Below are 26,502 nucleotides of genomic sequence, written 5' to 3' on the forward strand. Positions count from 1 at the left end.
GTAGCTTTCTTGTGGATTATTTGGGATTTTCTACATATAAGATCATATCATCTGTGAATAGTTTTACTTTTTCCTTTTTAATCTGGATGCCATTTTATCTTTCATCTATCTATCTATCTATCTATCTATCTATCTATCTATCTATCTATCCATCCATCCATCTATCTGTTTTGGCTAAAACTTCCAATACAATGTCAAATAGCTGTGGTGAAAGCAGGCATGTTTGTCTTGTTCCTGATCTTGGGGAAAAGGATTTTAGTCTTGCACCACTGAGTATGATTTCTGCTACGAGTTTTTCATAATTGCCCTTTCTCATGTTGAGGAAGTTCCCTCTCATTCCTAGTTTTCTTGGAGTGCAGTGGCACGTTCTTGGCTCACTGCAAGCTCTGCCTCCCGGGTTTACACCATTCTCCTGCCTCAGCCTGCAGAGTAGCTGGGACTACAGGTGCCTGCCACCACGCCTGGCTAATTTTTTGTATTTTTAGTAGAGAAGGGGTTTCACCGTGTTAGCCAGGATGGTCTCAATCTCCTGAACACGTGATCTGCCCGCCTCAGCCTCCCAAAGTGAGTTTTCTAAGTTTTTATCATGAAAAAGTGTTGGATTTTGTCAAGTATTTTTTCTGCATCAACTGAGATGATCATGTGGCGTTTTTACATTCCATTAATATGGTATATTACACTTATTTTCTCATGTCAAAACACCCTTGGATTCCTGGGATAAATCCTATTTGGTCATGGTATATAATCTTTTAATATGTTGTTGGATTTGGCTCGCTAATATTTTGTTGAGAATTTTTACATCTATATTACTTAGGGATATTGCTCTGTGACTTCCTTTTCTTGTGAGGTCTTTATCTGATTTTGGTATCAGGGTAACGCTGGCATCAAAAACAAGTTAGTAAGTGTTCTCTTCTACTTTTTGGAAAATTGAGGATTGGTGCTAATTCTTCTTTAAATGTTTGGTATAATTCACTGATGAAGCCATCTGACCCTGGACTTACCTTCATTGGGAAGTTTTTGGTTAATGTTTCACTCTCTTTACTTGTTATACCTCTATTCAGATTTTCTATTTCTTCTTGAGTCGGTTTTGGTAATTTGTTGCTAGAAATGTGTCCATGCCATCAAGGTTATCTTTTTTTGGGCATACAATTGTTTAGAGTATTCTCTTATAATCCTTTTTACTTCTGAAAGGTCAATAGTTGTGTCCCCACTTTCATTTCTGATTTAGGTATTTGTGTCTTCTTATAATACTTGATTAGTAAGTTATTTTTCTTAAACTAGCCAGAGCAACTATTTTTCTTAAGCTAGCCAGAGCAGCTTTTCTGCATCCTAAAAATAAGAAGCCAGAGTATCATAGAAGGCATTCTTGACTTGCTCTTGGTTTGGTGGAATTATAAAGTTTGCTTCTACCTGAAATTTCTCTACTTAGATTCAATTTCTATGGACAGTTTTAAACAACATGTTGGCCTGGCAGTGAGAGTGCTTACATGTCAAATTTGTTAGGTTTTGTTTATTTGTTTTATGCATAGTCTCCCTTACTATTGATGTTAATTATAAAATTATTTTAAGAGTTGCAGTTCCGGGTAAGGTGGAGTAAGCACACTCCACTTTGACTCTCCCACTGAATGCGGCTACAAAACCTGGACAGAATGCATATAACAATGTGGAAGGACTGTGAATACAAGATAATAGTATGAAGACTAAAGAACAACGAAATTTGAAGTGGAGTAGACCTAACTGGTAGTGAATAGACCCTTTTCACCCCCCTTTAGTATTTCTCAGTGTGGATTTAAGGCAATCTATAATGTGGAGATAGGTATTGGTATAGCTAGAGAAAGCTTCCAGAGAAGCCTTCTACTCAGGATCAAAGAAGAAGATAGAGATCTCCCGATAGCTACAGGAGCACCAAAATTCTGAGAGGGAGAGGGTTACTTTCCAGAGGTGCTATAGTCTCAAGAGAGTGAGGTGAACACCATTTCTTTTTAAATTCTAACTTCCCTCCACTTATCCCTGGATATGAGTGCAGACATGAAAAATGTAGGGCAGGATGGGGGGTAAATAAAGCCACAGTATTACAGATGGAAGATCAAAAAAGAGGCTTAAGGGACTGGAAGTTACTGGGGAAAATACCTAAAGGGAGGATCTTTGGAAAATTACCAGATAATGTTGTTTATGAATTTCTGGTATCACTTCTGAGGGATGCATGTGTGGTTCTGATCATAAACCAACATACCAAAGACTGAACTAAACTAAGAGATAAACCACATGCCAGGTTTCAGAATGGCCACTGAGCAGCATACATGTGTGACAAATTTGAATAAAACTGAAGGCTTTGAAAATGAAACTGACATTGAAACCACAACCCACAGAAGCTGGTTGGAATTTGCAGCCAGAACCCAATAAGGTCAATTGCCTACTAAAACAAATATATCAACATTCTCCATAGGATTTAAATAAACCCAGAGTCCCTTAACATTATATTTGAAATTTCCAGGATACATTCCAAAACTACTTAGTATATGAAGAACTAGGCGAATCTGAGCTCACATGAGAAAAAGATGATCAACACACACCAATGCTGATTTGACACAGGTGTTAGAATTATCTGACCAAAATGCTAAAGCAGCTATTATTAGTATAAAGGTGCTCCAGGAAGTAAGGACATACACTCTTAAAATGAATAAAAAGATATAAAGTCTCAGCAAAGAAACTGAAGACATAAAGAACCAAATGATAATTTGGGAACTGAAAAAAATATGTAATCACTAAATTTTTTTAAAAAAATCTCACTAGATAGTCTTAATAGCAGAATGGAGATGACAAAAAAATGAGTCAGTGAATTCGAAGATAGGTTAATAGAAATTACCTGATCCGAAAATAAAGAAAATATTTCTTAAAAAAGTAAAGAACCTAAGGAGCCTGTGGGACAGTACCAAAGGTCTAATGTTTGTGTTATCAGAGACTGACAAAGAGGAGAAAGGAATAATGTCTAATATCATTTCACATCCACTAGAATGGCTACTCCCAGAATTCCTGAAATTAACATGTGTTGGCAAGGATGTGGGAATTGGAACCTGTGGATTCATAATTAGGGAAAAGGAGTCAGGCTGGCTGGACACCAAGGCAAAGCAAAAAGAGAAAGCAGATAAGCTTCAAGTCTGCCTTTCTTCATGGTCCACTACACATTGCCCTCCTGGGTCCAACTATCATCAGACACCTGCAAGTTAGCTCACTGCAACCTTAGCATTATCAGTATTGCCTGTAGCACTCTTCAGCATAAGAAGCATTCTTGTTCTTATTTCCTTGTTTCCTTGCAGTCAGCTACTCTTCTGCTGATTCCACCTATAGCTCCCTGGCAACGTACTTTTATACTTTCTTTAACCAATCTGCCTTTCTTTACCTACAACTATCTTGGTAAATTCTTTTACCTCTGTGCCACCAGCCCAGACAGTCATCGCGCACCCAAGACGGAACCCTTGTAAATTGCTGGTGGGAAGTTAAAATGGTGCAGCCACTATGGGAAGTTTGGCAGCTCCTCAAAATGTTAAATATAGAATTACCATATGACTCAATAATTCCACTGCTCAATATATACCCCAAAGAATGGAAAACTGGGGCTCAAACAGATACTTGTACACAAATATTCCTGGCACCATTATTCCCAATAGCCAACAGGTGGAAACAACTAAAGTGTCCATCAAAAGATGGACAAACAGAATGCACAAAATTTGATATATATGTACGATGGAATATCACTCAACCACAAAAAAAGAATGAATTCTGATACATGCTACAACATGAAGTTGAAAAACTTATGCTAAGTGAAATAATTCAGACGTGAAGACAAACACATATTTTATAAGGTATCTAGAATACACAAAGTCATAAAGACAGAAAGGATTAATAGAATTGAAATTACTAGGTACTAGGGGCAGGGGGAATGGGGAGTTATCGCTCAATGGGTAGAGAGTTTCTGTTTGGGATGATGAAAAATTTCTCAAAATAGTGGTGATGGTTGCATAAAACATTGTTTATATACTAAATGCCACTGAATTATACACTAGAAATGTCAAAGTGGTAAATTTTATTTTCTGTATATTTTACCACAATAAAAAGGGGGAGGATAAATAACAGCAAAAAACTCCTCCCATATTTTGCAGAAGATATAAACTTACAGATTCAAGAAGTTCAGTGAATCTCAAACAGGAAAAATCCCAAACAAATCCACAACCAAACACTGTGAGAATTGATTATATGAATTGGAGTTATCATGCCCAATTAAATTAGAGTCAGGAGACCAGGGGAAGAAAAGAAAAGAAAAGCACTCAGGGCACAAGTGCCTGCCCAGGGACTGTCTCCTAAGCCAACTGCCAAAATGATCTGCTACAACCTTAAGACTATTTTTACCTAGTAGCTGCTAAGATGAACTGCCATGACTTTAAGCCTAGTTTTACCTACCCATCATTACTCACCAATCAGAGCTTATGAGCTCCCAAAAACTTTCCTAATGCCAATGAGTTTTCTTACAAAACAATACATAACATTTCTCTAATAAAACCCCCAACCTTTTCTCTGCTCTTTGAAGATACCAAAGACCACCCTGGTCTGTGTACATGCCCTGAATGGTAATTCCGTTTTTCCAAATAAAACATTTTCTTTAGAGTTTCATCTCTATCATTTTATTTGACTTTGATAACACCATAATCAAATTGCTGAAAACTAAAGACAAAGAAAAAATTTGAAGGTAGCCAAAGAAAAACAATGCCTTATCATAGAAAAGAACATTGATTCACATGACTACTGATTTATCACCAGAAACCAGAGAGACTCAGATGAAATGGCACATTTTTTAAAGTGCAGAAACAAACAAAGAAAAAAATCTGTCCACCTAAAATTCTATAGACTATTAAAATTATTTAAGAATTAAGATGAAATAGACATCATTAGAAAAAGGAAAACTAAGATCATTTGTTGTCATCAGATCTGCTCTAAAATAATTATAAAGAAATGTCTTCAGCCAAAAGGAAATAGTACCTGAAGGAAACTTGGTATATTATGCATAAAGGATGAGCAACGAAAATGGTGGCTACCTAAGTAACTATAACAGACTATTCTCCTCTTGAGTTCTTTAAAATATATTTGATGGCTGAAAGCAAAACTCGTAACATTATCTAATGGGCTTTTAATGAATATAAATGTAATATGTATGACAACTATAATGTAAAGCATGGAGGATAAAAGAACATACGTGGGTGAGGTTTCTACATTCCAGTTGAAGTAAAATATTGATTCCAAGTAAAAAGTGAATATGCAAATTGTGCAGCTACTCTGGAAAGCAGCTTGCTGGTTTCTTGTAAGTTAAACATACACTTACCATTTGACCCAGCAATCCTACTCCTGGGTATTTACAACAGAAATTAAGACATATGGTCACACAAAAATATGTACATGAATGTTTATACCAACTCTATTCATAATCAAACAGGAAACAACCATATGTCCTTTAATGGTGAATGAATAAACATATTATTTATAGAATGGATTACTACTCAGTAATAAAAAGGAATGAACTATTGATACATGCAACAACTTGTACAAATCTCATAGACCTTATGCTGAATCAAAGTCTCAAAGTGTTACATAATGTATCAGTCTGTCAGAGGTGTTCGAACCAGGGTGACTCCGTCTTGAGTGAGGGCTGGGAAACTGAGGCTGGGACTTGCTGGGCTGCATTCCTAGAAACTAATGTATTCCTAGCCTCTAGATGTTTACGGTTAAGGGAACAGATGGATAATGTTTACTAAACAGATCCAGACTTGGGAGTGTCCTGATATCCTGCTATCTTGAGAAGAGAAGCATTCCTAGTTTTGCTTTAATGGTAATATCGATTATTGTAAAATACAGTAATTAAGAAAATTAATCCTTTATCACAAACCCTTGTAGCAGAGCACATCTCCCAATGATTTTTTTTATCCTATATATATAGACAAGTATCGTACCTAGGGTGGACGTGTTCCTCCTCTTACTTTCGGGAATGCCCTACTCTGTCTATGGAGTAGCTGTACTTTAATCACTTTACTTTCTTAATAAACTTGCTTTTGCCTTGCACTGTGGATTCGCCCTGAATTCTTTCTTGAATGAGATCCAAGAACCCTCCCTTGGGGTCTGGATCGGGATGCCTTTCCTGTAACAATTTCATTTATGTGATATTCTCAAAAAGAAAAACTATCAGTGGTTGAAATATAGCAAAAACTGAAGACCTGAAAAAAGAAATGAATTCAGAGTAGAAGATTTTAACTCACCTTATCCAGTAATTGATAGAACAAGTAGTCAAACAAAATCAGTTAGGATATAAAAGTTCTGAATAACAAAATTAAGAAAATTGACCTACCAGATATATGTAGAATATTGTACCCAACAACTGCAGAATATATATTTGTTTCAAGTGCATATAAAACATTTACCAAAACTGGCCATATACTCAGCCCTAAAGACAATCTTAATATATGTCAAAGGCTAAAATTATGGAAAGCATATTCTCTGATTTACCACTACACACCCATTAGAATGGACAAAATTAAAGAGACTGACCATACCAAGTGTTAGTGACAATTTGGAAACAACTGCAACTCTCATACAATGCTGCTGAGAATATAACAAAAAGCCCCTTCGGAAAACAGTTTAGCAGTTTCCTAAAGAATTAAAAGCATACTTACCATGCCACCCAGTCATCCTATTCCTATTTACCAAAGGTAAATCGGAGCTTATGTCCATACACAGACTTGCATGCGATGTTCAAAGCAACTTATAATAGCTAAAAACCAGAAACAGTTTGTATTTGTTTTCTGTGCTGCATGACAAATTCCTACAAATTTAGTGGCTTAAAATAGGTATTTCATTTAAATTTATTTTTGAATAGATAATTGGGTAACAGTTCAAAATGTGGTGCACTGGCCGGGCGCCGTGGCTCACGCCTGTAATCCCAACATTTTGGGAGGCCGAGGTGGGCGGATCACCTGAGGTCAGGAGTTCGAGAGAGAGCAGCCTTGGCAACACAGTAAAACCCCATCTCTACTAAAAATACAAAAATTAGCTGGGCATGGTGGCAGGCTTCTGTTATCCTAGCTACTCGGGAGGCTGAGGCAGCAAAATCGTTTGAACCCGGGAGGCGGAGGTTGCAGTGAGCCAAGATCACACCGCTGTACTCCAGCCTGGACAACAGAGCAAGACTCCGTCTCAAAAAACAACAAACAAACAAACAAAAAATACATTGCCCTTTAGCTATATTGGGTAGCAGGAAGGAAACTGAGAAATGAAAAACGTCTATTAAGTCTTTCTTTATATATATGTATGCATCACTTAACTGGTTGTGATTGGTACATATCTAATCCTAGTCAAAAGCCCAGGCTTTTGAGAGTCAGACTACCTATTTGGTTACACGTAACTAATTTCTTATTCACTGTGTATCTCAACTTTCTTATTTATAAACTAAGATACTAACAGTTTCTACTTCATAAGGCTTTTGGGAAGATTACAGCAAATAATCAACGTAAAGTACTTTTAGCTTGGTGCCTGCCATATAGCAAACGGTTAGTAAATGTTAGCTATACAAAATATTCACCTTAAACTCATTTTTAGAAAATAAGAATAATTCAAAAGGAACTAAGCATCCAAATGAAGCAGCTAGAAAAAGGACAACAAAATAAACTGAGAAAAATGTGTGAAGAGGACAATTTAGGTCAAGAGTGCTGTAAATTCAACACTGAACTCTCCCCCTTCTCTACAAATGTGAATTATAGATTCAATTAACAAGAAAAAGACAGTTTCATGCATGCCCAGATACAAAATAAGCATTTATTTGGGTCAGAAACAGAAGGCGGCAACCTAGTAAGGTGGGGCTAAAGCGGCAGCCCTGCCGATGTCTAGGTCCAGGAAGCAGCTAGGGGCCACTGGGAGTTTTTACTCCTTTGATGTAACGAAAGCACTATGTATGTGGCATGGAACCATGGTACAGCTGGGGTCTCTGTGTGAAAACAGCTGTGATCACTGCCTGAGGTTACTGCTTCTGTAAACCTGTATAACTTCATGGTTGGGGGTGGCATAAGAGAAAACTGCACAGAAATCTGAGCAAAGCTACATACTGCTTCAGATGCTGAGCCAGCTGCCACTTTGAGACTGGAGTTTCTAGCCACTGAGGCATAATTTTGGAGTAGAGTCCTAGACAACTAGAGGGGAGAAACCACAGAACTACTAGACAGGGAAGAGGGAGCACAGAAAGAGGCAAAGGAAAAAAAATACCACTTAAAATGAATCTGCAGATGAAAACGCCAAACCACCCAATAAAAATTATTAAGGAGAGACAAGAAAAAAATTCACTGAAAATAACCAAAAATATTTTAAAGTTTTCTTAAATAGGTCTTTAATCTGGAAAGAGAGAGAAAAAAACACTCTGGAGAAAAACTAATTGAAGGCAGAACCCAGAGAGATGACTTCTTCCTTGAGACGTTTGCTGAGCTGGATGAACCTGAGCATGGGTTTTCACAGCCTTGTCAACAGAAGATGGAAAATACAGTTTATATCTACGAGTAGAACTTCACACAATGCTGAAATCACAAGGATCTACCCTTTAGTATAAGGGTGAATTAGAAATACTTACACATTTCCCCAACTGAGGCAGGAGAATAGGGTCTGGAGGCAGGGAACTGAAGGCCATTTCGTGCTGAATCAAGGAAAAACACCAAGATTTGGGGGCACGGAATCTGAGGTCAATTTATGCTAACTTTCTAAAAGAGAAAACACCTGGGTCTGGAGGCAGGGAATCTAAGGCCAATTCAGGCCAACTTCCTAAAGCTAAACCAAAAGGTAAAATTCCATCTCCCTACAACCACCTGAGTAGCAAAGGATCAAAGGCTGCTGTCCCTGCCACCCTCCCCTTCCACCATGTCTCAGATGGAAAGGGAGAGTGCCTTGGATTGGCCTTGGGGCCAAGCAGGGACCATCCCTTCATCTGCACAGGGCACCCATTCACCTCAGCCTTTAGCCACAAACCAAATCCTTCATCCAGATAAGGGGTAACAGTAGGAACCTCAACAGGAGTACTTAAAACCTGGAAAACTTTGTAACGGGGCCCATCGGCCGCTTGTTTGAGCCCACTCCCACACTGTGGAGTGCTTTCTCTAATAAATTCCTGCTTTTGATACTTAATTCCTGTGTTTCATTCTTTTGTTACTTTGTGGGTTTTGTCTAATTCTTTGTTCAAAACGCCAAAAACCTGGACAACTTACACTCAAGGCCCTCCTTCTGCTGACACAACCATTAGGACTAAGAAAAATTATCTGTCTCCAATTTCAGCACGCTGGAGATAGGAAGGATTTCTCCTGATAATCTGTATTCACAATGTGGTCTTCAAGCAGGTTTGCAGCCTAATTTTATATCAGTTTTGTAGTCTCCAAAACCTCCAATAATAACTGTAAAGTAGTAGTGGACTAATAGTGCCTCCAGATCTTCAGATGATTGACACAATCTAATCCTCTTTGGAGGAAACTTTCTTTATTCCAGGCCTCTAAGAATTACCATGTGAGGACAATTAAGACATTAGGACACAATACAAATCACCAAACATTAAGGAAATAAGACCCCACAGGTTAGAACAAACAGAAACCACAGCAGAATCAGACGTGAGAAAAGTTTAGACACTGGAATATTCAGACATAAAATAATTTTGCTTAATATGCTTTAATAAATAAAAGACAAGCTTGAAAATGAGTAAATTACAAGTAGAGTTTAAGAAAAAAAAGAGAATGTCTGCAGTGTAAAATGTAATAACTGAAAATTTTAAAATTTTATGGATACAGTTAACAGCAGATTCAATATAAAGAGAGCATATTAAAACAATTAAGTTATGCAGAATATATCCCAGAGTGAATAAGAAAAAAAACGTTAAGAGTCATAGGGGATACAGTCAAAAAGTCTAACATGAACTTAATCAGTTTTAAAAAGAATGGAGCAGAAGCAATATTTGAATAGATAGTGGGAATGTTCCAAAAAGTCACTATTTCACAGATCCAAAAGCTTTAATAAGTCAAACAGAATAATAAACAGAAATCTATACCTAAACACGTCATTATGCATCTACAGAATACAGAAGACCAAAAGATCTTAAATGTAGCCTGAGAGAAAGAAGCACAATTAGATGGACAGCTATCTTCTTAGTAATCGATATAGAAGTGAGAAGAAAATAAATGGTATTTCAATATGCTGAAAGAAAATTACTGTTCAATGCACAGTTCTATATTCAGAAAATTTCTTTCCATGATGAGGACTTAAAGACATTTTCAAACAAGCAAAGGCTGAAAATCTGCAATCTGAAAACTCCCACTAAAAAACATTATAAAGGATGTACTTCAGGTAGGAGAGTCAACTTAGATAGAAGAAATGAAATTTAAGAGGTGGGGAACAAGAAAATGGTAAATATTATGGTAAATCTGAGAGAACCTGACTGTGATATGCTAATTTTCCTCATGGGAAATTCTTTAGGTCCTGGAATGAAGGCAGGTTCCTCTAAAGAGAATTAGTTCTGTCAAGCATTTGGGGGCACTCTTCATCAAGTAGTTAAAACAAAACAAAGGATTACAGCACAATTGTAGGACAGTTGTAGGGGCTCAACAAACATTTACTGAATGAATGAATGAGTAAATAGATGGATATCACAATTAACTCTACGTGTTCCTAGCAAAGGCTAAAAACTGGCTGCTTGCCAGCCATTTCTGGTTTGCAAACAATTTGTTTGGCCAACAATATATTGACCAAGACAAAGGCAAAACAAAACAGGAGATTTTATACCAAGTACTGGGCTTACATTTCTGGTTGTCAATAGTGGACTGAAACTGACTCACCGCTGCCACCTTAGAAGGGACGTCTACTCCTCCATGGAAGATTGGAATTGAAGTGTTTATACCTCCTTGTTTGGGATGAAGTTAAAAATAATTAACTTTAGACATTAATAAGTTAAGGATACATGGTATAATTTTCTGAAGAGGCAAGCTGAGGCTATTACAAGTTTTTACTTCTCTTATTTAACAGGGGAGAAAACACCCCACATGTGACAAGGAGTACAGTTAGCTTTCTGTATGATAACAGTAGCAACCAACCACTACTGAGTAAAGCCATCATGAAATACTCTCTTTCCTAGGCCTAAAAGAGGCTTATAACTGGTGAACTGTCAACATATTTTTGTTTTGCTCACACATTTCTGGACAACACTTAAAAATCAAAAGATGTAATATCCCATTCTGAGCCTGCATTTTTGATGGGCAGTCTTGGGCTAGAACTGAGTAGCAGAGGCCACCTTTTAGAAAGGAGTATATGGTCTCAAGTGGAATTTAAGTATTTTGGGGTTCCTGTTTGGGAAAAGGGTAAATATGATTAACTATAGACTTTAATAAATTTAGGATACATGGTGTAAATTCCTGGAGAGTACCCACTAAAAGATTAAAATAAAAATTTTAAAAAACAGTATAAAGTACAGATGCTCCTGGACTTATGATGGGGTTGTGTCATAATAGACCCATTGAAAGTTTACAATATCATAATTTGAAAATGCATTTAATATACCTAACCTACCGAACATCATAGCTTAGCTTAGCCTACTTTAAACATGCTCAAAATGCTTATATGAGCCTAAAGTTGGGAAAAATCATCTAACATTTGTTTTATAATAAAGTGTTAAATATCTCATGTAATTTATTGAATACTGTATTGAAAATGAAAAACAGAATGGTTGTATGGGTACTCACAAGTATGGTTTATGCTGAATGTGTATTTTTTTGCACCATTGTAAAGTTGAAAAATACTAAGTCAAACCATCATAAGTCGAGTACTGTCTGTATATAACTCCAAAACCAGTAGAATATTAAAATAAGATGAGAAAAATGATACTTTGAAAGAGAGCAAGAAAGAAAATAAAAATAGAATGCAGAATAAACAGAATGTTCACAATTTATCATTACCATAAACATAGTGGACTAAATACTGTAATTAAAAGACAAAGATTATCTGATTGTATTTTTAAATTGTATGTATATACTACAGAAAGGTTGAAAGTATAGTAGTGGAAAATATATATCATGCAAATACTAACCAAAGAAAGCTTGTATGGCTGTCTCAAACAACATAAACGTTATGCATGGTCACTATTAATAAGGCTCAATTCACCAGAAAAATAACTTTTCTGCATACAATGTAATCTCAAATTAAAACAAAAGTTCATGAAATCACAGCTATAAATGGACAAATCTACCACCACAGTGAGGAATTTTAAAACATTTCTCTCAGTAACTGATAGATCAAGGAGAGAAAGAAAAATCTGTAAGGCCATAGAAAATTTAAATACAGGTAAATAATTTGTTCTCAGATATATACCTTCTGTCCACACGGCTTCTTTTGGCATTTCTTGTAGTGCAGGTCTGTGCCAAAAAATTCTGAAAAAGTATTTGACTTTTTTAAATTAAAAAAAAAAGTTTTTTTAAGGGGCAAGATATTGCTGTGTTACCCATCCTGGAGTGCAGTGGCTCTCCACAGACATGATCATAGCTCTTTACAGCTTCGAACTGATTGCTTTAAGCAATCATCCCACCTCAGCCTCCCGAGTAACTGCACCTTTGTTTTTGAAAGACATTTTTGCTGGGAATACAATTCTAGGTTAACAGTTTTTTTCTCTCAGTACTTTTAAGGAAATCTGATGACATCCTTAACTTTTTTCCTCAAAATGTACACGTCTTTTTTTATCTGATTGCTTTTAAGATTTTATTACTTGTTTTGAGCAATTTATGTTGCCTTTGTATAGTTTTCTTCATGTGTCTTGTGCTTGGGGTTCATTGAGCTTCTTGGATCTGTGAGTTGATCGTTTTCAGGTTTGGAAAATATCATAATTCTTGAAGGTGTCCACTGATGCTTTTTTCTTTTCCTTTTTTAAATAAATTTTTAAATTTCTTTTTTCCTCTGTGTTTCATCTTGGATAATTTCTATTTCTATGTCTTCAAATTCACTGATCTTTTCTTCTGCTATATCTAATCTGCCATTAATCTCATCAGCATAATTTTTATCCCAGACATTGTAGTTCTCATCCCTGAAAGTTCAATTTGGGTCTTCTAAAAATAATTTCTTACCTTTTTTTTTTTTTTTTTTTTGGAGACAGGGTCTTACTCTATCAGCCAACCTGGAATGCAGCAGTACGATCATGGCTCACTGCAACCTTGACCTCTCAGGCTCAAGCAATCCTCCCACCTCAGCCTCCCAAATAGCTGAGACTACAGGTGCACACCACCAAGCCAGGCTTTTTCTTTTTTTTTTTTTTTTTTTTTTTTTTTTGGAGCGATGGGGTCTCACCATGGTGGGCAGGCTCGTCTTGAACTCCTGGGCTCAAGTGATCCTCCCTCACTGGCTTCCCAAAGTGCTGGGATTATGGGTGTGAGCCACTGTGCCTGGCCAGCTTCTTAACTTTTGGAAGATACAGCAGTTATATTAATTATTCTAATGTTCCCCCCTGCTAATTCTGATATCTGTTCGTTCTGACTGGCGATTTTCCTCATTATGGTAATGTTTTCCTGCCTCTGTGTAGGCCTGCTAATCTTTGATTGGATGCCAGATATGGTTAATTTTACCTTTGTGGATATTCAATATTTTTATATTTCTGTATACCTTGAGTTTTATTCTGGGACACAGTACATTTACTTAGAAATTACTTGATCTTTGCAGATTTGTTTTTAGCATTTGTTTTCTGGGTACAGGGCAGTACTCAGTCTAGGGTTAATTATTCCCATACTACTGAGGCAAACCTTCTTCAGTTCTCCACCCATGCCCCATAAATTATAAGGTTTTCATTCTGGCTTGTGGGAATGCACTGTTTCTCGTCCTGTTTAAAGTGCCAAGCATTGTTCCTCCTACACCTCTGATTATTCTTTTCCCAGCCTTTGGTAGTTTCCTGACACACAACATAGTACTCTGCTGAATACTGCAAATCTCTCCATGCAGCTCTCTCCTCTCTGTAACTTGGTCCTAAGAACTCTCACTTCCTGAGTCTCTCTGTGCCCTCAGTTCTTCCTCCTCAACTCAAGGTCTCTCTTCACTTTGCCTCAGTTCCTATTTCCTGTGCTATGACTCGGAAACTCAAAGCAGTAAGCTAAGGTAATCATAGAGCTCACTTCATTTGTTTTCTGTCTCTCATGGATCACTGTCCTTCATTCCTGCTGTTACTAACTTTAACACCATTGTTTCATGTTGTTTTTTGTTTCAAGTGGGAGGGTAAATCCAGCCCTTATTACTCCAAATTGGCGAGAAGTGAAAGTCCTAAAACTATTTTTAAAGTTATGCAATAAGATGATTTTTGAAAAATCTCTACAGGGACTAATGGTAAAATTACTATGCCAGAGGATAGCTTGCATTAGTAAAAGATAGGAACTGCTGAGATAGATCAAAAAGGTTAGAAAATCTGAGATGGGTCCTTAGGCACTGGCATGAAAAATTTTAGAATGAATGAGAAATACATTTTTCTTGCTTTTACTTACTGAGATTTGGAGGATTATTACAATGTCATTCTAACCTATCCTGACTGATAGACTTAATCTGCTATCAATCTAAGGCTCAATTCACCGGAAAAAAATAAGGTTCAATTCACCAGAAAAATAAACTAAACTTGTCTGTGTATAATCTCAAAACAAAAGTTCTTGAAATCGCAGCTATAAACATTTGAATCTGTTGACAAGGTTCTCATTCATTCTAAAAGTCCAGTGATTTTTCTGTTCATTATAGTAACTCAGATGACAGAGCAACCATCTCAAACATCACCAGCAAACAAATCAGAGGAGAGACAAAAATCTAGAGGGTCTCAAATCAGTAATTTAACGCTTCAGTTTAGAAGTGACATGTCGTATTTGCCCACAGGTCACAATCCAAAACCAGACAGATGGTCCCACTCAACCATGAGGAAAGTGTAATCCTGCTCTGTCTGGTTCTCTAGGGAGAACCACTATATGGCAGATAACCCTATGACTACAGCCAAAACATTATCTCTTCTAAAGAGAGATAACTCCAAAGTCCCATTGCCATCAAATGGCATCAAAAGTGGCACTGAAAGTCCTATTGTCATCGATGGCATCAAACTCAAAATCCACTATCTCCTTCTAGTCTCTAAATCAGTAGATGGTGTGCCCTAGTCTCCTCTTGATCTGTTAATCAATGATCTAAAAAGTTGTTCATACCCTACACATACAAGATTGAAAAAGAGATAGAAAAACTGTAATAAACACTTCTATTCAGAAAGGGAAAGATGGGAGACATAAAAGCAGTTAGTGGGCCAAAGCAATTCTCTGCTATGATTTCCTCTACAATGGGGGTGCACAAATTCCTGATTCAAGCCTGATTCTGTTCCTCGGGAGGTGATCCCCAATTTATTGGTGTCCAAGGCTCTTGATCCTATCATCCAGGAGGTCCTATCTCTTACCTTTATCCTTCTTGGCCACCTTTGAGGCAGGCATTAAGGAATATGTCCTATTTGGGGCCCAGGGAGCTTTCTCACTCTGCCGCTTCCTATAGAAAGTTGGGGGCCCACAGGTCTCAAACAGTCATAAACTTTTAATCCAGGCCCATGGTTCCTTTAATGGTACAATTCTCTCAAAAAGTTTGTTTTTTGTTTATATGATTTGAGTCAGCAATGAGCCAAGAGGCACACCACAATTTTTAAAGATAGGTCTCCCCCAGCTCCTCCCACACTTGACTGGAGTACCTTGAGACCATCAGGCATTGGTGGAAGTCTGACCCTTTAGTACCTGCTTCCTAAGCCATTTTGTCTAACTGAAAAGATATATGGGTCATTAGCATTTCCCAATTCCTGACATACTAATATTTGGGATATAAGAATGAGGAATCAAAATTTCTGAAAATTCTCAGGAATTCCTAAATTATACAGAATCAGCATTCTGTAGTTTTCATAACATTATACTTAATGTATTTTTAAATAATTGTAACCTTAATAAATATGGAATAATTTTTCTGTAGTAGTTATACTAAATGTTTCAGAAATTTTTTGCTGAAAAAATTAAAATGTGGTTTATTACTATGAGCCAATATCCTGTGACAAGATGATATATTTTAATATCATTATTTCTACCTGATATATTGACAACAGAAATGAAGGAAACAGTAACATAAATGTGAAATAAAAAATCATTTTAAAAACTGGAAGACTACAAATATTTGTTTAAAAGTTATTCCCAAAAGAAAAATTTAAAGCACATAAAGCATTAATTGTCCTACACAATAGTCTTTATCTTTATTTGGTTATGAATGTTTCAGATATAAAAATTTATTTTATTTCGCATTGATATGAGTCAAGTTCAAAAACCATGACTGGCCTCTTACTTTTTTTAATGATGAAAGTACTTTGTCTGCCCTGATTTTGATCTTGCTGTTGAAACTGATACTGCTTTTGTTAATTTAGAGTTTAGATCCATTTCTGATTTCTTTTTAAAATGTTCCATAACATTCACGTCTTCTTTTCTTTGCATTTCTTGTTGAAAGTATTTGCAAAGAACAGTAGAACACTGGGAAGTGCCAACAAATTGATTTGGTAGTATTTGAAATACGTAACATTTGGCTCTTTTGGCAAGGTTAAAGCATTACACAGAAGCACTGTCAAAATTGCCAATTTAAGGGCTTATTTTGCTCCTACATTGTGCTATTTCTTGGAACACCATTGATAGGATTCGTATAAAGTATACTATCTACATAAACCTATAGATATTTATTATATTTACAAGAATGACTAACTCTCAGCAGCAGATGGGGCATGAACACATACTTACAACATGGCAATGGCTACAAGTAAGACCAAGTGATTCGATTGTGACCACTTTCCTTCTAAGTGCTCCTGTTCTGGTTCCGGGAAATGTTGACCTTACCCTTGAACTCCACATGTCAGCATTCCCTGCTCTTGCTTTTGAGCTTGACTTCAATGAATTCCTTCAAAGGATAATGGCTCTAAGTTGATTACTAAGCTTTAATTCTAACAGGAGAGTTACAATACTTTTCTCTGTCTCAACAATTTCTTGACTGATTTGTCTTGAAATTCAGAAAATACATAAATTTCCCAAAATATGCTGTTAGGAGTTCTCATATAGAAACACTATGGGACCTCTCTTTAATCTAGTTAAAAGTTTTAGTCCGGGTGCGGTGGCTCACGCCTGTAATTCCAGCACTTTGGGAGGCCGAGGTGGGATCACGAGGTCAGGAGATTGAGACCATCCTGGCGAACACTGCAAAACCCCGTCTCTACTAAAAATACAAAAACGTTAGCTGGGCGTGGTGGCGCGCCTGTAGTCCCAGCTACTCGGGAGGCTGAGGCAGGAGAATGGCACGAACCCGGGTGGCGGAGCTTGCAGTGAGTGGAGATTGCGCCACTGCACTCCAGCCTGGGCAACAGAGTGAGACTCCGTCTCAAAAAACAAAAAAATAAAAGTTTTAACAAGTACTGTAATGACCATATTCTTTATTTAATTAAATTCTGTTGCTTAAAGGCCTTCTTTTAATGGTTGGAGGTAAGAAGTTGTTGCCTCTCCAGCCTTGCATATATCTGAATTTCTAGAGTTCCTGTGTTCTCTTTTGTTCTCATTTGCAATCCTACCTTTTCTCGTTTCTCAGCTGAGTTAATTTCTTTCTTAAAATACATTGTCAGGCCGGGCATGGTGGCTCATACCTGCAATCCCAGCACTTTGGGAGGCCAAGGCGAGTGGATCACCTGAGGTCAGGAGTTTGAGAGCAGCCTGGCTAACATGGTGAAACCCCATCTCTACTAAAAATACAAAAAAAAAAAAAAAATGAGCTGGGCATGGTAATGGATACCTGTAGTCCCAGCTACTCAGGAGGCTGGGGCAGGAGAATCACTTGAACCTAGGAGGCAGAGGTTGCAGTGAGCCGAGATCACGCCACTGCACTCCAGCCTGAGCGACAGAGCAAGACTCCATCTAAAAAAAAAAAAAATCTTGTCAAATGCAGCTAATACAGTAATCAAAACATGCTGTTAACATTCTGTTATCCGAAGTCTTCTGATAGAGATACAAGTTTATTAAGAATATTGTATGTCTTCCAAGTATTACAGGCAATAGTTTACCAAATCTCGCACATCAGAATATGGATCACCTCATGGAGCCACACCATCTGTCACCTAAGCCACTGTAATAGTTTAAGTTTGTTTTTTTTTCATGGTAGCACTCCACTTCCACGATTCATGACTGTATTGATCAAGATAGGCCAGGTTATGTTGCAGAAACAGAAATTCCCTAACTATAGAGGCTTAAAACAAAAATACTCATTCTCTCTCATGTGCCCATCTGAATAAACAGGGAGGCTCTGTTCATAGTAGTCCCTCAGTAACCCAGCCTGATGGAGCAATCACCATCTCAAATATGACAAAGCACTACGACAAACGAAAAAAATTCTAAAAAGTTTCACATCAACAATTATATGCTCCAAACCAGAAGCCACTTTCACTCACAATGCACTGGCCAGGAACTAGTTACATGGCCACACATACTAGAAATATTTGGTGAACTGTAGGAATGAAAATCACATTAGGTTTTTAAAAATTAATAAATAAAACTGACTTTGAAGAGGTGAAGAAAAAAAATCTAGATGAAAACATCAAGTCTTAGAAGTTTATGCCAGGACAAGAAGCTTTCCGCTAGTATTGTGGTAAGAGAATTTTCCATTTTTACCTACAAATACTTAAGTATTGTTTTACTATTTTTCTATAAAGAGTATGTTAATATAATAATGGATATTTTGGCTGGGCGTGGTGGCTCACGCCTGTAATCCCAGCACTTTGGAAGCCCAAGGTGGGTGCATTACCTGAGGTCAGGAGTTCAGGACCAGTCTGGCCAATATGGTGAAACCCCATCTCTACTAAAAAATACAAAAATTAGCCAGGCATGGTGGCCGGCACCTGTAATCCCAGCTACTCAGGAGGCTGAGACAGGAGAATTGCTTGAACCTGGGAGGCGGAGGTTGCAGTGAGCCGAGATCGTGCCATTGCACTCTAGCCTGGACGACAAGAGTGAAACTCTGTCTCAAAAAAAAAAAAAAAAAAAAAAAGGCCGGGTGCGGTGGCTCACGCCTGTAATCCTAGCACTTTGGGAGGCCAAGGTGGGTGGATTGCCAGAGCTCAGGAGTTCGAGACCAGCCTGGGCAACACAGTGAAACCCTGTCTCTACTAAAATACAAAAAAATAGCAAGGTGTGGCAGCGTGCACCTGTAGTCCCAGCTACTCAGGAGGCTGAGGCAGAATTGCTATAACCCGGGAGGCAGAAGTTGCAGTGAGCCGAGATCATGCCACTGAACTCTAGCCTGGGCAACAAAGAGAGTCTCTTAAAAAAAATAATATTTTTTGATTAAAAAACTGAATAATCTTCAAAAAATTGCAAATTTGTAATTCTAGAACACGAAATAGTAAGAAATGTGGACCAAGTTTATAAACTAAGTTCCACTGTAATGGTTACAATAATGAAAATTAAAGAATGGTTATAAAGGTATGATATGGACTATATGAAAATATAAAGTAAAAGCTGGCAAACTTTTTCTTAAAGGGCCAGATTGTACATAACTTAGGCTTGTGAGCTACATGGTCTCTGTCTTATATAACTGTGCTGTTGTAGTGCAAAAGTAACAAGAGACAATATGTAATTAAATGGTATGGCTGTTCTAATATTTTGTTTATAAAAATAGGTGGTCAACTGTGGGTCATAGTCTGCTAACCCCTAATATAGAGAATCAAAATTTTTTTAAGGAAGTGGAGGCCGGGCGTGGTGGCTCACGCCTGTAATCCCAGCACTTTGGGAGGCCGAGGCAGGTGGATCACTTGAGATCAGGAGTTCAAAACCAGCCTGGCCAACATGGCAAAACCCCCGTCTCTACCAAAAATACAAAAATTAGCCAGGCGTGGTGGCAGGCACCTGTAATCCCAGCTACTTGGGAGGCTGAGACATGAGAATTGCTTGAACCTGAGGGGCAGAGGTTGCAGTGAGCTGAGATTGCACCACTGCACCCCAGCCTGAGTAAGAGCGAGACTCCATCTCAAGAAAAAAAAAATGTTTTTATGGCACCAGATAAAGATGAAATATTTTAAAAGTTTAAAACTGGCCCAGCATGGTGGCTCATGCCTGTAATCCCAGCACTTTGGGAAGCCGAGGCAGGTGGGTCACCTGAGGTTGGGAGTTTGAGACCAGCCTGACCAACATAGAGAAACCCAGTCTCTACTAAAACTACAAAATTAGCCAGGCATGGTGGCACATGCCTGTAATCCCAGCTACTCAGGAGGCTGAGGCAGGAGAATTGCTTGAACCTGGGAGGCGGGGGTTGCGGTGAGCCGAGATCATGCCATTGCACTCCAGTCTGGGCAACAAGAGCAAAAACTCAATCTCAAAAAATAAAAAAGTTTAACAGCATACTTTATACTTCTCCAAATCTCCACAAACAGCATGCTTTACTTTAATATTTCGGGGAGAAAAGTCATTTTAAGAAAGATGTTGGAGTGAATCAGCAATACAGTCAATTTTTCTATTCTGTTTTTGGTAAAGTCTAATGATCCTAGATGTACCTGGGGCATTTTCCAGAAACCAAAATCCAAGGTAACTTCTGTGATCAACTATCTTTCAAGCCATTAACTTCTGCAGCTACAGCATCCCTTAAAGTGTGGCCCAATAATCTTCATAATAATGGCACACTGTGCCATCAATGAAGACCAAATTATGTGTAATATATTTTTTAAAAATAAAGGCAATTTTACGGTACTTTTAACAAGCAATTAAAAGTTAGCAAGAGCTAATTATAAAAGTAATTTCACCCAACATATCTCATTTCTTAAAGATGTTATAGTTGTTGCTACAGATGTGTTTAGTTCCTCACAAATGATCTGAGTGTATCTTTTAATTTGAAGCTTTCAAGTTGAAAATTAAATATTGTCATGGCTTTCAAAAATCTATTCATTTTGTCTACGTTGATCTGCAGATGTGCATCAGTCAAAAAATAGTTATGCATCGCTTAATGACAGGGATCTATTCTGAGAAGTGCATTGTTAGGCGATTTCAGCGTTGTGTGAACATCATGGAGTGGTCTTACACAAACCTAGATGGTATTGCCTACTATACACCTAGACTATATGTCATAGTCTGTTGCTCCTAGGTTGCGAACCTGGGCAGCATGTTACTGTACTAAATACTGTAAGCAAGTATAACACGATGGTGTTTATCTAAACATAGAAAATGCACAATAAAAACATAGTATAAAGATAAAAATTGTACACCTATGAGTACTTACTATCAATGGAGCTTTCAGGTCTGGAAGTTGCTCTGGATGAGTCAGTGAATGGTGACTGTGAAGGCCTAGGACATTACTGTACACTTGGGCTAAATTTAAAAATGTTTTTCTTCAATAATAAACCCTAGCATACAATAACTTTTTTACTTTATATATTTAAAATTTTTTTACTTGACTCCTGACACAGGGTCTTGCTCTGTCCTTCAGGCTGGAGTACAGTGGCTTGATCATGGCTCACTGCAGCCTTGAACTCCCAGGCTCAAGTGATCCTCCCACCTCAGCCTCCTGGATAGCTGGGACCACAGGCAAGTGCTACCATGCCTAACTAATTTTTTTTTATTATTTTTTGCAGAGACGCAGTTTCACCACATTTTCCTGGCTGGTCTCAAACTCCTGGGCTTAAGCGATCTGCCCATCTCGGCCTCCCAAAGTGCTAGGACCACAAGCGTGAGCCACTATGCCCGGCCTTTTACTTGACTCTTTTGTAGTAACGTTTCGCTAACAACACAAACATTTTACAGCTGCACGAAAGTACCTTCTTTATATCCTATTCTATAACCTTTTTTTACTATTAAACAAAATTTTTTTTACTTCTTAAACTTTTTTTAAAAAAACTAAGACACACACACATTAGCCTAGGCCTACATGGGGTCAGCATTATCAAGATGTCACCAGGCAAGAGTAATTTTTCAGCTTCATTATAGTCTTATTGGACCACCATCATACATGGGGTACGTCATTATGTGGCGCATAACTGTACTTAAAAGATAATTGTTTTTCCTCTTAAGTTTAGAAATAGGTAAATCAACTGTTTCACTTCTTAGCTGAGTAAACAAGTCTTACTGTTGTAATAGTCTAGTAAAAATAAAACACTTGCAATCCTCTTCTAGTGCATACAAACTTCCTATTTCATTATAGTATAAAAAGTAGTCTTGTCAACCATGAAGTCAAACAATGACCTAACAGAAGCCTACAAAAATGTAACGATATTAAAACTTCAATAATTATTTTATAAAGTGTATCTTTACATGATATACTATCTTGCCTATTAATAAAAATGATTCACAACTCCTTGAGGAAAAATCCCCTTTCTTCAGGTTAAGAAGTCTTTGATTCCATATGCATTTAACAAGCAATTAAAAGTTAGCTAGAGCTAACTATAAAAGTAATTTCACCCAACATATCTCATTTCTTGAAGATGTTATAATTACAATTAGTATCATCCATAGGAGGATTATTTGCAAAAAAAGAAATATTTTAAAAGGAAATGTTTAATATAAATGCTAGTAACTAGATGTAATGGAAAAACAATAACTTAAGAATCAGATCAAACTGGGTTCAAATCTAGGCTTTGTAACCCTAGCCAAATAATTGCCCAGATATTTGGTTTCCTTATCTTTTTACTTCTAACCAAAATAAAGTGACTCACCTCTTGTTAGTTTCTTTCAACAAATGTTTAGAATAGTTCTTTAAAAATTCATGGGGTAAAAAAAATTTATAGTTTCTTCCTTAAAACACTGAAGAGATGGAAAGGGGAAGAAATAACAAATAAATATGGTATTCAGATTTTCAATATAAATTAGCAGTGCATCCTACAAAATAAATATAATGATTCTTGATGTTATTAAACTGCACTTATAATCCACCATAATCCCGTTGTTTTAACAGGGAACTATAACATACTAAGGTGTCTTGATAGTTCTTAGGCAGTCACTAGAGTGCATCACTGGCTTTCATATTCTTATCAAAGGAGTTTAAGCACTACAAAGCAGGAGTAGGCAAACTATAGTCCATGGGCCAAATCCAGCCAACATCCTATTTTTGTAAATAAAGTTTTACTGGAACACAAATAGGTTCATAATTTACATATCATCTACAGTGGCTTTCATGATACAAGGCAGAGTTGGGTAATTGTAGCACATGGCCCACAATTATTTACTGTCTGGCCCTGTAGAGAAGGTTTCCTAACCGCTGCTCTAAAGCACTGCTACCAAAGGTTTGGTTTGCATACCTGGATTGGTTGTTCCTGATTGGAGATAAGGAGATTGAAAGAGAATGTAAACCAGCTATGGTACCAAATACAATTCTTAATTCAGCTATTTTTTTTTTCATTGCCAGACTTTCTCAATGAAGCACTTACAGTCCAGTATAGGTTCCTTTTCTCATAGTATATAGGTACAAACAGTTCATTGACCTGCTACTTTGAATACCACTACTCAAAAGGTATATGGGGGCTGATGTAGCAAAGCTCCAAAGGGATTATGGTGTCATAATGTGATAATGTGGCAACAGACTGAATGAGACTCACAAGTGGTCCTTATAGAGACAGGCGTTTTTCCTAACCCTGCTCTTCTAAGGTTTATATTATTCCAAAAATCTTCCATGATACAGAATTACATTTTAACAAGGTGAAGGATGAGAGCTAATGGCTCCCTCTCTCCCTATCTTTTCTTGGGAGCAGGAAAGATAAAAATATTAGCTCTCCTCCCCAAAATACTCCAAATAATTCATAATATATTTTGCCTATTTAGCCTCTTTAAATTGTTGGGCAGATAGAAAAGTATAATATTAAATTCTATTTCTCTTGAAGTAAAAGAATTTATAAAGCAAATCTATTCTCATAAATATTAGCAATATTGTCCCCTGTACTTTAAGTCCTAATTTAAAATAATGTATCAGCAGTTAAAGAATGTAGAATGGAATCCTCACCACTAACACTGATATTAAATTTCTTGAACAAGTATATAATTTCTAAAGGCACCAAAGGTAATCTGAATCAAGCAGTGATTGGAAAAATAGAATTATTCGGGGGCAGATTTTTATTGCAAATATTTACTCAAAAACTACTATATACAGCAGAGTATTTTAATCGCCATTTAAAACATTGAACATTCAGTGAAACAAAATTTAAGAATCCAAAGCACATTTTAAGAAGTAAAAATGAAGCATTTTAAATAAAAGTTTATTAGTATTTCAAAGCAAACTACTGTTCTTCATATTATTCATTTCTATATCTATTATATTCTAGATGATAAAAAGAACTGAAAAATCAATTTAGCAGCCATCTTATAGATAAATTAGGCTAAATTTCCAAAACCAGTTCTTTTACATCACTGTTTTAGGTCCCATTTGAAGTTTTTATTTTACAATTACAGAAAAGTCACTTAAACATGGCTGAATACATGCCAGGACATGTTTTCAGTTTACTGCTTTACAATATCTACATTATACCATACTTTGGTTTGGCTTCCAGACCATTTTTATGGGCCTATTTCTAAGGAAGATCATTAAAACAATATTAAAAGCATAATAGCTACAGGAGTTTCAACAATGGGTTTCTACTTTACATTAATACAACTAATACATCAAAGAATTTCTACACAGCTTACACACTGACAAAAAGCACAAATATAAATTTATATCTTAATAATTCCACTTTCACTGAAAGTTTAATTAAGGTAAGCTTACAGCCTGGCAGGCTAACACTTGTATGGAGGTACAAAGATTCAAATATTCTGTTTACATGCGTCTGACTGGAATGTTATATTAAATCCAAAATTAAGTTTATGTTCATCCAAATTCTCATTAGATCAATTTAGTACTCTAAGCATGCTCCATTTACCAGCATCATCCTCACAAATAAAGCCTTCATTAACAATGCCAATCAGCCATTGTTTTTAATCAATTACTCCCCAAAAGTACATGGTTTCCAAATCCCTTCCTCTCAGTTAACTGAAAAGGATATACAGGTAATAAAGATTTTTAGCTTAGGATTGATGGAAGTTTGAAAGGCTTTATAAATATTACTAATATCATCAATTCATGTCAGCAACCAAATCCCATTTCCTTGAAAACCATTAAATGAGACCTTTCCACTGCAAATTTAATTATCATTAAAATCCTGTTCGTGTTTTTAAAAACTTTTTGGGAATCCCTACTAATCATGCTATTATTGGTGAATTGATTTGTTTGATAACATAGGTTGAACATACAGGTAAAGTGTATGTGTGACCTCCCTTACATATTTCCATTTCTGAACCTACAACAGCACCACTGAGCTCACCTGATAGCACTGTTCCAAATGCCCTTATCGTTGGTACACTGAAACTTAAAATGACTAATTTCAACTTCTTTCTTTTTCGTCTTCCAGGTCTACTGTTGCCTCTGTTGTGCTAGGGTTATTTCCTCCAGGAATGTCATCTGTTTGATCAGACACTACTTCATCAGTCTTGGCTGAAGGATCACCACTACCTTTCTGAAGAATCTCTGTGGCTTCATACTCAAGTACCTCGGATGGAGTCAGAGGTTCCAAATGAATACTGCCTTGCTCGCTAACATCAGAACTAACAGATTCAGGTTCATGTCTTTTTCTCAAAAACTGATCAATGCTTACATTATCTGATGCTAATCGCAAATCCTTAATATTCTTTGAAGAAAATCTGGCTTCACTGGAGTTGTGATCTTTAATCTGATCAGATAAGATTATGTTTTCTGAACTTTGGCACATCTTCAACTCCATTTCCTGACAAACGTGTTGTATTTGTTTTTTCTTTTCCACTTTATCTGCACCAATATTTGAATCACAACTGACGATGTTTTTTGAGCCAGTTTCCTGGTCTGCAAGACAGGTTTCATTTTCCTTATCTGAAACTGTTATGCTTTCTTCACTTTTTGTTGTTGATGAGCCTTCAAATGAATTTGCATTACATCCATTTTTTTCTTTTGAAGAAGCAGCTTTATCTTGTTTACTGAAAAATAAAGTCATTTATTATGTATTTCTTCATAAAGCAATGTTTTTGAACACTGTCAAAATAAAGACGTGTTCTAAAAAATAAAAAGTCAAGGTACATTTGCCCACCAAAAAGGAAAACAGTCCAAGTTCCCAATCCTCGCTATGGCAGTAAAATTTAGGAGGAGGCCATTTTCTTAGGCAAGATTCTGAGAAACTCTGGAATCACATACTAAAAGATATCTATCAACTAGTTTTAGTCCTGGCTGTCATTATTTTCATCTGTTCATATCTCTTGCCTGTTTCTAGTTTAAATTTAAGTATTTTTATTAACTTGTAAAAGTACCTAAAATAAAAAAATATATTTGGAAAAAAATCTATATTTTTTTATGATTTTTTTTTTTTTTTTT

The 26,502-nt window shown here is 36.7% G+C and overlaps 1 protein-coding gene across 3 annotated transcripts in view; it reads right to left on the reverse strand.

The window, feature by feature from the left end:
- Window positions 1–24,164: 24,164 nt before the first annotated feature.
- ZNF280D (zinc finger protein 280D) overlaps window positions 24,165–26,502 on the reverse strand; it is a 103,334-nt gene continuing 100,996 nt past the window's right edge. For all 3 annotated transcript variants that reach the window (NM_001002843.3, NM_001288588.2, NM_017661.4), the window contains one exon: window positions 24,165–26,111. In NM_001002843.3, the coding sequence (NP_001002843.1) occupies window positions 25,487–26,111 (625 nt within the window). In that variant the 3' untranslated portion in view covers window positions 24,165–25,486. The remainder of the gene's footprint in view (window positions 26,112–26,502) is intronic.

This window comes from Homo sapiens, chromosome 15, assembly GCF_000001405.40.
Source record: "Homo sapiens chromosome 15, GRCh38.p14 Primary Assembly".
Classification (NCBI taxonomy): domain Eukaryota; kingdom Metazoa; phylum Chordata; class Mammalia; order Primates; family Hominidae; genus Homo; species Homo sapiens.